The sequence below is a fragment of the Homo sapiens genome, chromosome 7, assembly GCF_000001405.40.
Source record: "Homo sapiens chromosome 7, GRCh38.p14 Primary Assembly".
NCBI classification, from domain to species: domain Eukaryota; kingdom Metazoa; phylum Chordata; class Mammalia; order Primates; family Hominidae; genus Homo; species Homo sapiens.
The window spans coordinates 98,258,495-98,272,135 of record NC_000007.14 but is presented as its reverse complement, the minus strand read 5'-3'; the positions used below and the strand labels follow the sequence as shown (position 1 = coordinate 98,272,135).

Genomic DNA, 13,641 nt, shown 5'->3' with positions numbered 1-13,641 from the left:
TTCCCTATGGGATCTGTTAGCTGTGGTTTAATTTATGATGGCATGTTCTCACTTATATGTGGGAGCTAAACGATGGGTACCCACAGACATACTGAGTGGCAGAATAGACATTGGAGACTGAAACAGGTGGGAGGGCAAGAGGGGGGTGAGGTCTGAAAATCACCTGTTGGGTACAATGTTCACGATTCTGGTGACAGGTGCACTGAAGGCACAGACTTCAGCACTATGCAATACCTGCATGTAAGGCATCTGTCCTTGTGGCTGGCTGGCTGCAGTGTCTCACGCCTGTAATCCCAGCATTTTGGGAGGCCAAGACAGGAGGATTGCTTGAGCCCAGGAGTTTGAGACCAGCCTGGGCAACACAGCAAGACCCCGTCTCTACAAAAAAAAATTTAAAAATTAGCCAGTCATGATGATGTGCACCTGTGTTCCCAGCTACGCAGGGTGCTGAGGTGTTTTAAGGCTGGGAGGTTGAGGCTGCCGTGATTTGTGATCGCGCCACTGCACTCCAGCCTGGGCAGCAGAGCGAGACTCCATCTCAAAAAAAAAAAAAGCCGGGCACGGTGGCTCATGCCTGTAATTCCCTCACTTTGGGAGCCAAGGTGGGCAGATCATTTGAGGTCAGGAGTTCAAGACCAGCCTGGCCAACATGGTAAACCCCATCTATACTAAAAATACAAAAACTAGCTGGGTGTGGTGGTACACACCTGTAATCCCAGCTACTTGTTAGACTGAAACAGGAGAATTGCTTGAACCCAGGAGGCGGAGATTGCAGTGAGCCGAGATCGCGCCACTGCACTCTAGCCTTGGGCAACAGAGCGAGACTCCGTTTCAAAAAAAAAAAAGAAAAAGAAAAAAGAAATCTGTACTTGAACCCCCTGAATACATAAACATTATAAAATTGAAATAATCTATGATGGTAGAGAGAATTGAAGTGGAATTTGAGGCAAACTTGTCCCCAGTCACCAGAGCTCTGAGTTTGGTGACAGGAGGCATCATCTTTGGTTAGGATGAAGCAGAAAAATGACCACTCCCAGGTTGAGATGGAGAGGTCACTTCCTTTGGTCAGTAAGGGAGCGGCTTTCAGGACTCACCCCCAAGCAATGATGTTTGGGGGGACCCTCTCAGGGCCTATAAGGATCTGGGTCTCCTCCTCTCCGTCATTATTCTATTTTGCCAGCAGTGCCCAGAACTCGGTTCTGCTTCAAGCCGCAGAGTGGAGGAGAAGGCACCGAGGCTTGGAGATGCTGTTTCATAGAGTCTTGGCTTTGCAGCACATGTGAGCTTGGGGGGCAGCAGTGGGGAGGGGTTCTCCAAAGAAGAGAGGCTGCCATGGGCGAAGAGACAGAGGGAAGGAGCCCCCAGGGCCTCCCGATGCCACTGTGGCAGGAGGGTCCCCTCTCCACTCCCCCATCCCTTCTCCCCAGCAGGTAGCCCCCATCCTCTCTCTGGCCCAGCCCACCCTCCACTGCCTCCCTGGTCTGTTCCGGGGGCTCCTACCTTCAGCTTGCACTGTGGAGGCCATGGCTGTTCTTGGGGACACGCCCAGGAATGATGCGGGGATGCCTCAGTACGGGGCAGCGGAAAGCCCCCTTAAACTCCAGCAGAAGCCAAGCAGTCACCGGTGGGCCAGCGACCGACATGAAGGAGGGACCGGACAGATGGCCAGGGGGAAGGAGCCATCGGGGGCGTTGGGAGGCCCGGGAGGAACTGGACAGAGCCAGGTCTCACCGGGGACAGAATGCGGCCTCACAATCCTGCCCCACCGCCAAGATTCTCAGGTTCTGAGCCTGGAGTCCGACTGCTAGCCAGCGACTCATGGCGCCCACAGCCAGGTACCACCCCTCAGAGCCAGGATGGTTTGGGGAGAAGCTGGATTAATACCAATGCCAAGGGAATCCTTGATAAAAACCCTGACTTATGAGAATTGGCAACGGAGAACCAGCCACATGAACACAATGTGACAAGACAATGCCCAAGTTGCCAAGTGACAAATGCCCAAGCCAGCAGCCCAGTTTCAGGCTTTCCCTGAGGCCCTAGAAAGTGTCTTCAGGGGCCAGGCGTGGTGGCTCACGCCTGTAATCCCAGCACTTTAGGAGGCTGAGGCCAGCGGATCACCTGAGGTCAGGAATTCGAGACCATCCTGGCCAACATGGTGAAACCCTGTCTCTACTTAAAATACAAATAATTAGCTGGGCGTGATGGTATGCACCTGTAATCCCAGCTACTAGGGAGGCTGAGACAGGAGAATCACTTGAACCCGGGAGGCAGAGGTTGCAGTGAGCCGAGATCGCGCCATTGCACTCCAGACTGGGGGATAAGAGCGAGGCTTCATCTCAAAAAAAAAAAAAAAAAAAAAAAGAAAGTGTCTTTAGGGTCAGTTGAGGTGAGCAGAAAGCCTGATCCGTGAGTAGGCAGGAATGACCCCTCAGTTGCATGAACCAAGCCCCCCTCAGAGACCCCCACCTCAGGCTGGGCTCATGCCTGTAATGCCCATGCCTGGTGGCTCATGCCTATAATCTCAGCACTTTGGGAGGCTGAGGCGGGAGGATGGCTTGAGCCCAGGAGTTTGAGACCAGCCTGGGCAACACAGTGAAACCCCATCTCTACAAAAAATAAAAATTTAAAAAAAAAAAAGATCATCATTCATTCATTCTTTTTAGTGGATCATTTTCCTTACTTTCCTGGGACAATTCCTTTTTGCATTTATAATATAGCATTAGAAAAAGGGATATGGGCCGGGAACGGTGGCTCATGCCTGTAACCCCAGCACTTTGGGAGCCAAGGCAGATGGATCACCTGAGGTCAGGAGTTCGAGACCAGCCTGGCCAACATGGTGAAACCCCATGTCTACTAAAAATACAAAAACTAACCAGGTGTGGTGGTGCGCACCTGTAGTCCCAACTACTCAGGAGGCTGAGGTGGAAGGATCGCTTGAGGCCACAAGGTCAAGACACGCCTCCCAAAGTGCTGGGATTACAGGTGTGAGCCACCATGCCTGGCCCCTCTTTAGTTTTTGAGAAACCCTTTTCCATGGAAACATACAATGCTCCTGTATTCCTGTATCCAGGAACTACGACTTGTAGTCTGTCGTGTGTGTGTGTGTGTGTGTGTGTGTGTGTGTGTGTGTGTGTGTGTGTACAGCCTTATTGAGGTGTAATAATGGTGTCTTGCTTTTTTTTTTTTTAAGAGACAGGGTCTTGCTGTGTTGCCCAGGCTGGTCTCAAACTCCTAAGCTCAAGTGATCCTCCTGCCTTGGCCTGCCAAAGTGGTGGGATTCAGGTGTGAGCCACTGCTCCTAGCCCTTGTGTCTTGCTTTTAAAGCCTACACAGCCTTCTTATCCATCTCATGACCTAGACTAGTCCCAGCCCCTGTCACCTGCAAGCTTCCCATCTCTGCGTACCCCTTCCACCATCAGAGTAATCTTCCTTGAGTGACTGTGCTCAGCTGAGCCACCAGCTCTCCCTGCTTAAAAACCTTCAGTGGCTCTCAGCAGCCCATGGTGTGAGATCCTGGCCCTTCAGCGTGCCATTCAGGACCACCCTGCCCTGCATCCGTTGACCCTGAGTGCCCAACAGAAGCACCTTCCACATAAGCTGGTCTTTTTTTTTTTTTTTTTAGAAGGAGTTTCGCTCTTGCTGCCCAGGCTGGAGTGCAGTGGCACAATCTCACATCACCACAACCTCCGCCTCCGGGGTTCAAGCAATTCTCCTGCCTCAGCCTCCCGAGTAGCTGGGATTACAGGTATGTGCCACCATTCCCAGCTAATTTTGCATTTTTTACTATGGACGGGGTTTCTCCATGTTGGTCAGGCCAGTCTCGAACTCCCAACCTCAGGTGAGGAGGTCAGGTGATCCACCCACCTCGGCCTCCCAAAGTGCTGGGATTATACGTGTGTGCCAGCGTGCCCACCAGTTCTTTTTCTTTTTGAGACAGAGTCTTGCTCTGTCGCCCAGGCTGGAATGCAGCGGTGTGATCTCAGCTCACTGCAACCTCTGCCTCCCGGGTTCAAGCAATTCTCTTGACTCAGCCTCCCGAGTGGCTGGGATTACAGGCATGTGCCACCATGCCAGGCTAATTTTTGTATTTTTAGTAGAGATGTGGTTTTACCCTGTTGGCCAGGCTGCTCTCGAACTCCTGATCTCAGGTTATCAGCCCACCTTGGCCTCCCAAAGTGTTGGGATTACAGGCGTGAGCCAGTGCACCTGGCCTCCTTTATGTTTGTCTTAATTTGACTTCCTTGAGATCAGTAGGCATATTTATCTATGGCTCCCTCTCCATACCAAAATCAAATTATCTTTCTCCCAGTCATTTCACTGCGGCTGACAGACCCTTGGGTGGCTCCCAGCCTCTCTGCCTCCTATGTAACCCCCTTTCCTTGAATTGAACTCTATCTTCCTTCTAGCTAATAGAATATGGAAAAGATGAAAGGGTTTGGCAGATGTACTTAACTGAATTGAGTTGCTTTTGAGTTCATCAAAAGGGAGAATATCTTGGGTGAGCTTGGTTTAATTAATAGAAGCCCTTGGAAGAGGGATTTGGCCCTTTTGGAGGCTAGAGCCTCTGTCCTGCTGGCCTTGCAGAAGCAAGCAACTATGTTGTGATCAGCCCCTGGAGAGGGTCATGTGGCAGGAAATGGTAGGTGGCTCCAGGACCTGAGGGAAGACAGCAGTCAGCAAGACACAGGGTGCCTTCCATCATCGGTTGCAAGGAAATGAATTCTGCCAAGTTGGACGAGCTTGACAGCAGATTATTCCCCACTCGCACCTCCAGATGAGAATGCAGCCTCTCCCTCCAACACCTTGAATGTAACCCCAAGAGACCCTGAGCAGAAGACACAGCCAAGCAGTGCCCAGACTTCGCCAATGGAAACTGTGGAAGAATAAATGTGTGCTGTTGGGAGCTGATAAATTTGTGACCATTTGTTGTGCAGTGTCTTAGTTTCTTTGGGATGTTATAACAAAATATCTTAGACTGGGTAATTTATAAATGACAGAAATTTATTTCTCATGGTTCTAGAGACTGGGGAGTCCAATATAAAGTCCCCAGCAGATTCAGTGCTTGGTCAGGGCTCACTCTTGCTTCATAGTTGCCCACTTGCTGTGCCACCATGTGGCAGATGGAGTGAACAGCTGCCTCAAACCTTTTTTTTTAAAGTTATTATTATTATTATTATTTTTTATTTTTTATTTTTTGAGACAGTCTTGCTGTGTCGCCCAGACTGGAGTGCAATGGTGTGATTTTGGCTCACTGCAACCTCCTGCAGCCTCCGTCTCCAGGGTTCAAGCAATCCTCCTGCCTCAGCCTCCCGAGTAGCTGGGATTACAGGCATGTGCCATCATGTCTGGCTGATTTTTCTATTTTTAGTAGAGACGGGGTTTCACCATGTTGGCCAGGCTGGTCTCGAACTCCTCACCTTACGTGATCTGCCCGCCTCAGCCTCCCAAAGTGCTGGGATTACAGGCATGAGCCACTGTGCCCGGCCTATGTTTTTCTTTTTTTTTTTTTGAGACAGAGTCTCACTCTGTTGCCCAGGATGGAGTGCAGTGGTGTGATCTTGGCTCACTGCAAGCTCCGCCTCCCAGGTTCACGCCATTCTCCTGCCTCAGCCTCCCGAGTAGCTGGGACTATAGGCGCCCGCCACCACGCCTGGCTAATTTTTTGTATTTTTAGTAGAGATGGGGTTTCACCGTGTTAGCCAGGACAGTCTCGATCTCCTGACCTTGTGATCCGCCCATCTCAGCCTCCCATAGTGCTGGGATTACAGGCGTGAGCCACCACACCTGGCCGTTTTTCTTAATTTGACATCCTGTAGATCAATAGGCATATTTTATCTTTGGCTGCTTGTGGAAGCCTTTTCATACCACAATCAAATTCTCCTTCTTGTTTCTCTGAATCACTTCCACCGTCTGCCCCCATCTCTGACCTTTCACGGGTGCTTACTGAACACTTACAGTACCTAAAGATCTATGCCTGGCAGTGAAGGAGCTGGTCAAACTGTGCATTAAGAAATCCACATTCCTGGCCAGAGAGAGCCTTGAGCGGGAGGCCTGTAGGGACACAACACCATTTACCCACCATGGGACATGGATATGGCCCCTGGTGACTTGTTTAAAGAAAGACAGAAGGAACAGGAGGAATTCATGTCATCCCAGGCATCCATCCCAGCCCTGCTGCTGAGCTGATGAGCTCGAAGGGACAATGACTGGGTTTTTGACAGTTCAGTACGTGAAAGAATTCAAATTTACAGCTGTTGGAATTTTAAATTATTCTGACCCTTGAGAGGAATGTGGCTAGGTGGCTTGACTCACACATGGCATACAGCTTTTTTTTTTTTTTTGAGACAGAGTCTTGCTCTGTTGCCCAGGCTAGAGTGCAGTGGCACAATCTCGGCTCACTGCAACCTCCGCCCCCCGGGTTCAAGTGATTCTCCTGCCTCAGCCTCCCAAGTAGCTGGGATTACAGGCGCCCACCACCATGCCCAGCTAATTTTTGTATTTTTAGTAAAGACGGGGTTTCACCATGTTGGCCAGGCTGGTCTCGCACTCCCGACCTTGTGATCCACCCGCCTCGGACTCCCAAAGTGTTGGAATTATAGGCATGAGCCACCGTGCCTGGCAACTTCTGCCTTTTTTTTTTTCTGTAAATAATTAGGACGACTAGGCTGGGTGTGGTGGCTCATGCCTATACCCACTGCTTTGGGAGGCTGAGGCAGGACAATGGCTAGAGCCCAGGAGTTCCAGACCAGCCAGGGCAACATAGTGAGACCCTGTCTCTATAAAATTGTTTTTAATAAATAAATAATTAGGAAGACTAAACAGAGCCAGAGATAAGACCCTCACAGATTACGATCCCTACAGAGGGAGTAATAAATTATCTTCCCTGAAACTACACCAATAAAATTGCTGTAATGTATACACTGGGCTCGTATGGAAAATGTAATCCTGGCCGGGCGTGGTGGCTCATGGCTGTAATCCCAGCACTTTGGGAGGCCAAAGCAAGCAGATAGCTTCAGTTCAGGAGTTCGAGACCAGCCTGGGGAACATGGTAAAACCCCATCTTTACTAAAAATAGAGAAAAAATAGCTGGGTGTGGTGGTGTATGCCTGTAGTCCCAGCTACTCGGGAGGCTGAGGTATGAGAAACACTTGAACTTGAGAGGCGGAGGCTGCAGTGAGCTGAGATAGCGCCACTGCACTCCAGCCTGAGTGACAGGGCGAGACTCTGTCTCAAAAGAAAAAAAAAAAAAAAAGGCGGATGCAGTGGCTTACGACTGTGATTCCAACACTTTGGGAGGCCAAGGTGGGCGGATCAACTGAGGTCAGGGGTTCAAGACTAGCCTCGCCAACATGGTGAAACCCCATCTCTACTAAAAATACAAAAATTACCCGGGCATGGTGGCGGGTGCTGTAATCCCAGGTATGTGGGAGACTGAGGCAGGAGCATCACTTGAACTCAAGAGGCAGAGGTTGCAGTGAGCCGAGATTCTGCCACTGCATTCCAGCCTGGGTGACGGAGTGAGACTCTGTCTCAAAAAAATAAATAGCCAGGCATGGTGGCTCACGCCTGTAATCCCAGCACTTCAGGAGGCTGAGGCAGACAGAACACCTGAGGTCAGGAGTTCAAGACCAGGCTGACCAACATGGTGGAACCCCGCCTCTACTAAAAATACAAAATTAGCCAGGCATGGTGGTGGGCGCCTGTAATCCCAGCTACTCGGGAGGCTGAGGCAGGAGAATCACTTGAATCCGGGAGGCGGGGTTTGCGGTGAGCCGAGATCGCACCATTGCACTCCAGCCTGGGCAATAAGAGCAAAACTCCGTCTCAAAAATAAATAAATAAATAAGATACAATAATTTTTTTAAAAAAGAAAATGTAATTCTGCTAAAACTTCTCTGTCTCTGCCTATCTCCACCAATGTAAGTTAAATCTTAACTTCTCCACTTCAGAATGCTGCCCTTCATTTTTTGGGAGTTGGTGTTCCTGGGTGGTCATCCTTAAGCTCTATACCTAACTGTATTTTCTCCATTACATTATTTAAGGTTGACAAGTATGCCAACTCCCCTCTGTTGCTTGGGAAATCTGGATGTCTTTGTAGGTGTGGTATAATAAGAAATATATTTGACTTTTGTCCCTAGTTCTTGGCTCAGAGCACCCCTTGACCTTGGAATTTCCTGAGTGATAGGCGCATCTTTTGTTATTAATCACACCTGAGTTTCTGCTAATACGGTGACTTTAGCCCCTTGATAGTGGCTGGCAGTCAGAAAGACCAAGTGATTAGAGTTGGAATTGTAAGCCCCACCCTTTGACCTCTGGAAACGGGGAGGAGGCTGGAGATTAATCTCTATAAGAACTTTTGGGCCAGGCACTGTGGCTCACACCTGTAATTCCAGCACTTTGGGAGGCCATGGTGAGAAGCTCACTTCAGCCCAGGAGTTCAAACCAGCCTGGGGAACATAGCAAGACCCCATCTCGACAAGAAATTTAAAAATTAGCCTAGGAAGACTATAGTCCCAACTACTCAGGAGGCTGAGGTGGGAGGATCGCTGGAGCCCAGGGAGGTCGAGGCTGCAGTGAACCATGATTGTGTCACTGTACTCCAGCCTGGGCAGCAGAGCAAGACCTTGTCTCAGAAAAAAACTTTTGGCCAGGCACAGTGGCTCACGCCTGTAATCCCAGCACTTTGGGAGGCTGAGGCGGGCGGATCACCTGCGGTCAGGAGTTCCAGACCAGCCTGGCCAGCATGGTGAGGTCCCGTCTCTGCAAGAATACAAAAATCAGCCAGGCATGATGGCAGTGCCTGTAATCCCAGCTACTTGGGAGCCTGAGGCAGGAGAATCACTTCAACCTGGGAGGCGGAGGTTGCAGTCAGCCGAGATTGCACCATTGTACTCTAGCTGGGTGACAAGAGCAAGACTCCATCTCAAAAAAAAAAAAAAGAACTTTTGAGTGAGATTTGATGAGGAAGGTGAAGTGCCCAGAGAGGGTGTAAAGCTCCATGCACCACTGTCTCTCCATACCTTGCCCCATGAACCTCTTCCATCTAGTTGTTCCTGACTTGTAACCTTTATAAGAACCTGGTCGGCCGGACACGGTGGCTCATGCCTGTAATCCCAGCACTTTGGGAGGCCAAGGCGGGCGGATCACAAGGTCAGGAGTTCGAGACCAGCCTGGCCAATATGGTGAAACCCCGTCTCTACTAAAAATACAAAAATTAGCCGGGCATGGTGGTGGGCGCCTGAAGTCCCAGCTACTCGGGAGGCTGAGGCAGGAGAATCGCTTGAACTTGGGAGGCAGAGGTTACAGTGAGCCGAGATCACACCACCGCACTCTAGCCTGGGGGACAGAGTGAGACTCCATCTCAAAAAAAAAAAAAAAAAAAATGAACCTGGTGAACATAAGTGATGTTTCCCTAAATCATTCTAGCAAATTTTTAAACCCAAGGATGGGGTTGTGGTGTTAATCTGGTTTGGATGTTTGTCCCCTGCAAATCTCATGCTGAAACGTGGCCCCCGGTGTTGAAGGCATGGCCCAGTGGGAGGTGTCTGGGTCATGGGGACAGATCCCTCGTGAATGGCTTGGTACCACCCTCATGGTAATGAATCAGTTCTTGCTCTAATAGTTCATGCAAGATCTGGTTTTTTTCTTTTTTCTTTTTAGCAGAGTCTCACTCTGTCACCCAGGCCAAGAAGGGTGGATCACCTGAGGTCAGGAGTGTGAGATCAGCCTGGCCAATATGGTGAAACCCCATCTCTACTAAAAATACAAAAATTAGTTGGGTGTGGTGGCGCACACCTGTAATCCCAGCTACTCGGGAGGCTGAGGCAGGAGAATCACTTGAATCTGGGAGGCGGAGGTTGCAGTAAGCTGAGACTGTGCCACTGCACTCCAGCCTGGGCAACAAGAGCAAAAGTCCATCTCAATAAATAAATAAGTAAATAAATAAATGGGAAGCAGAGCATAACAATTTGGAAATTTGCAGCCTGGTCATGTGGTAGGTAGAGAAGGAAAGAACATTTTCGGAGGTGGAATTCAAGGAGCTTGTGGAGCAATCATTTGGTAGAGAGATTTACATAACTAAAAGGGAGCCAAGTGCTAAGAGTCAAGAGATGGAAAACAGGCCTGGAAGCCATTTTGGAAGTCTTCAGGACAGCCCCTCCCATCACAGGCCCAGAGGCTTAGGAGGAAAGCATGGCTTCAGGGGCCAGGGCCAGGGCCAGGGCTCCACTGTCCTGTGCAGCCTCAGGACACTGCTTCCTATATTTTGGCTCTCCAGCTCCAGCCGCAGGCCAAAGGTCCCAGATCTAACTGAACTGCTATTCCTAAAGGCACAATCTGTAAGACTTGGCAGCTTCCACGTGGTGTTAAACCTGCAGGTGCACACAATGCAAGAGTGAAGGAGGCTTAACAGCTTCCACCTAGATGTCACAGGATGTATCAGAAAGCCCAGGTGCCCAGGCAGAAGCCTGCAGCAGAGATGGAGCCCCTGCAGAGAGACTCTACTAGGGGAGTGCTGAGGGGAAATGTGGGGTTGGATCCCACACATAGAGGCCCCACTGGGGCACTGCCTAGTGCAGCTGTGGGAAGGGGACCACTACTCTCCAGACCAGACCCAAGAAAGGTAGATCCACCAGCTGCTGGCATCCTCAGCCTGGAAAAGCCACAGGCAGCAGACTCTAACCTGGGAGAACAGTCATGGGGGCTCTCCCTTGACATGGAGTAAAGGGAGATTTAGCTTTAAGGCTTAATGTCTGCCCTGCTGGGTTTCAGACTTGCCTGGAGCCTGTTACCTCTTTCTGTTGGCCAATTTCTCCCTTTTGGAATGGGAATGTTTACCCATTGCTGGTACCACCATTGTATATTGGAAGTAACCAACTTGTTTTTTATCTTATAAGCTTTTATCTTACAGAGATTCTTCTGCCTCAGCCTCCCGAGTAGCTGGGATTACAGGCACTTGCCACCATGCCTGGCTAATTTTTGCATTTTTAGTAAAGATGGGGTTTCACCATGTTGAACAGGCTGGTCTCAAACTCCTGACTTCAAGTGATCCACCCACCTGCCCAGGCCTCCCAAAGTACTGGGATTACAAGGTCTTGCTATATTGCCCAGGTTGCAATGGCTATTCACCAGCAGAGTCCCACTACTGATCCGCACCTGGCTACTCAGGTGGCTGAGGCAGGAAGATTGCTTGAGCCCAGGAGTTTGAGGCTGTCATGTGCAATGATCACACCTGCACTTTGGCTTGGGCAATATAGTGAGACTGTGTCTCTAAAAACAAAAAAAGAAAAGCATTTACTAAAGATAATCTCTCTACAAAATGTGATTTGAAATATGTACATAATGGCTGGGTGCTGTGGCTCATGCCTGTAATCCCAACACTTTGGGAGGCTGTGGCGGGTGGATCACTTGAGGTCAGGAGTTTGAGACCAGCCTGGCCAACATGGCAAAACTCCGTCTCTACTAAAAATACAAAAATTAGCCAGGCATGGTGGTGAGCACCTGTAATCCCAGCTACCGTAGAGGCTGAGGCACGAGAATCACTTGAGGCAGAGGTCACAATGAGACGAGATCACGCCATTGCACTCCAGCCTGGGCGACAGCGAGACTGTATCTCCAAAAAAAAAAAAAAGAAAAAAGAAAAATGTAGGTAAAACCAAATTAATAAGTGTTATAAATAGACATGTATTATTTTCATTCTCAAGAAGTTGAGCCAACATTTATAAAATTATTTGAAGGAGTTTTGACCTATTTCATTTCCAGCCTATGATGGTTCATCCTTCCTCAGCAACCCAAGAATTCTGACTAGCTGTGTGAACTTAGGCAAGTTACTTTCTCTTTCCATTGACAGATGGGGCTGATAACAGCTACTGGGTCTGCCCTTACATGTGCTGAGCTCCAAGGAAGGCTCCCTCAAATAATCATGAGATCGCGCCACTGCACTCCAGCCTGGCGACAGAGTGAGACTCCGTCTCAAAAAAAAAAAAAAAAAAGTTAGTGGCTGGGTGCGGTGCCTCACGCCTGTAATCCCAGCACTTTGGGAGGCCGAGGCCGGCAGATCACAAGGTCAGGAGTTTGAGACCAGTCTGGCTCACATGGTGAAACCCTGTCTCTATTAAAAATACAAAAATTATCAAGGCGTGGTTGTGTGCGCCTGTAATCTCAGCTACTCGGGAGGCTGAAGCAGGAGAATCGCTTGAAACTGGAAGGCGGAGTTTGCAGTGAGCCAAGATCAGGCCACCACGCTCCAGGCTGGGCAACGAGAGCAAAACTCCATCTCAAAAAAAAAAAACAAAAAAATTAGCCAGGCATGGTGGTGCAGACCTATACTCCCAGCTACTCAAGAGGCTGGGATTAACCAGGCATAGTGGTGCAGACCTATACTCGCAGCTCCTCAAGAGGCTGGGGGTGGAGGATTGCTTGAGCCCAGGAGGTTGAGGCTACTGTGAACTATGATTATGCCACTGCACTCCAGCCTGGGTGACAGAGCGAGACCCCATCACACACACACACACACACACACACAAATCGTGTGATGCTGTCACTTGATAAGTTATCCCATTCATGTAAAATTAGGTGATTTGCTCCACCTCCCAGGCTCAAGTGATCCTCCCACCTCAGCCTCCCAAGTAGCTGGGACTACAGGCCCGCACCACCATGCCCAGCTAATTTTGTATTTTTTAGTAGAGACAGGTTTCACTATGTTGGCCAGGCTGGACCATATGTGCTTTGTAAAACCCTTCCTTAATTGTAAAACATAAGACACAGAGAAAAGCATATCAGACATAAATCTTGTGAATTATTGTAAAGCAAAACCTGACACCACCAAGGTCAAGCATGAGAATCTTGCCGGCCACGGCCAACCCTCTGTGTTCCTTTCCTGCCCCAAAGGCATCCACATCCTGGTTGTTGTAACATTATGCTAATCACCTCCTTGTCTTTATACATTTTTTTTTTTTGAGATGGAGTCTCGCTCTGTCGCCCAGGCTGGAGGGCAGTGGCGCCATCTCAGCTTACAGCAACCTCTGCCCCCTGGGTTTAAGCGATTCTTCTGCCTCAGCCTCCCAAATAGCTGGGATTACAGGCGCACACCACCACTCCCAGCTAATTTTTTGTATTTTTAGTAGAGATGGGATTTCACCATGTTGGCCAGGCTGGTCTCGAACTCCTGACCTTTTGATCCACCCACCTCGGCCTCCCAAAGTGCTAGGATTACAAGGGTGAGCCACCGCGCCTGGCCGTCTTTATACTTTTACTACCAAACATACACTCTCAAACACTATAATAAAGTTCTTGGCTGTTTTTGAAATTCACATGTCAATGGGATCACATATATTCTTTTGTGTTTGGTTTTTCTCTCCTTGGTGTATGTTCAAGACTCATTCATGTTGTTGCATTTAGTTGTACTTCATTGTTTTGTTACCAATAATATTACACTGTATTAGGTTGGTGCCAAAGAAATTGTGGTTTTTGTCATTACTTTTACTTATTTATTTATTTTAGAGGAGTCTTACTCTGTCACCCAGGCTGGGGTGCAGTGGTGTGGTGCGATCTTGGCTCACTGCAACCTCACCCCACCGTTGGGGTTCAAGTGATTCTCCTGCCTCAGCCTCCTGAGTAGCTGGGATTACAGGCATGCGCCAC

At 49.3% G+C, this 13,641-nt stretch overlaps 1 long non-coding RNA gene across 2 annotated transcripts; it reads left to right on the top strand.

The window, feature by feature from the left end:
• The first annotated feature begins 1,172 nt into the window (after window positions 1–1,172).
• Window positions 1,173–4,908, top strand: LOC124901705 (uncharacterized). Of its 2 annotated transcripts, XR_007060446.1 has the most exons (3): window positions 1,173–1,279; window positions 3,623–3,745; window positions 4,775–4,908. It is a non-coding gene; the product is annotated as an uncharacterized LOC124901705 (long non-coding RNA). The 2 variants fall into 2 exon arrangements; XR_007060447.1 differs by lacking the exon at window positions 1,173–1,279 and having other exon boundaries at window positions 3,698–3,745; window positions 4,585–4,908.
• Window positions 4,909–13,641: the final 8,733 nt, after the last annotated feature.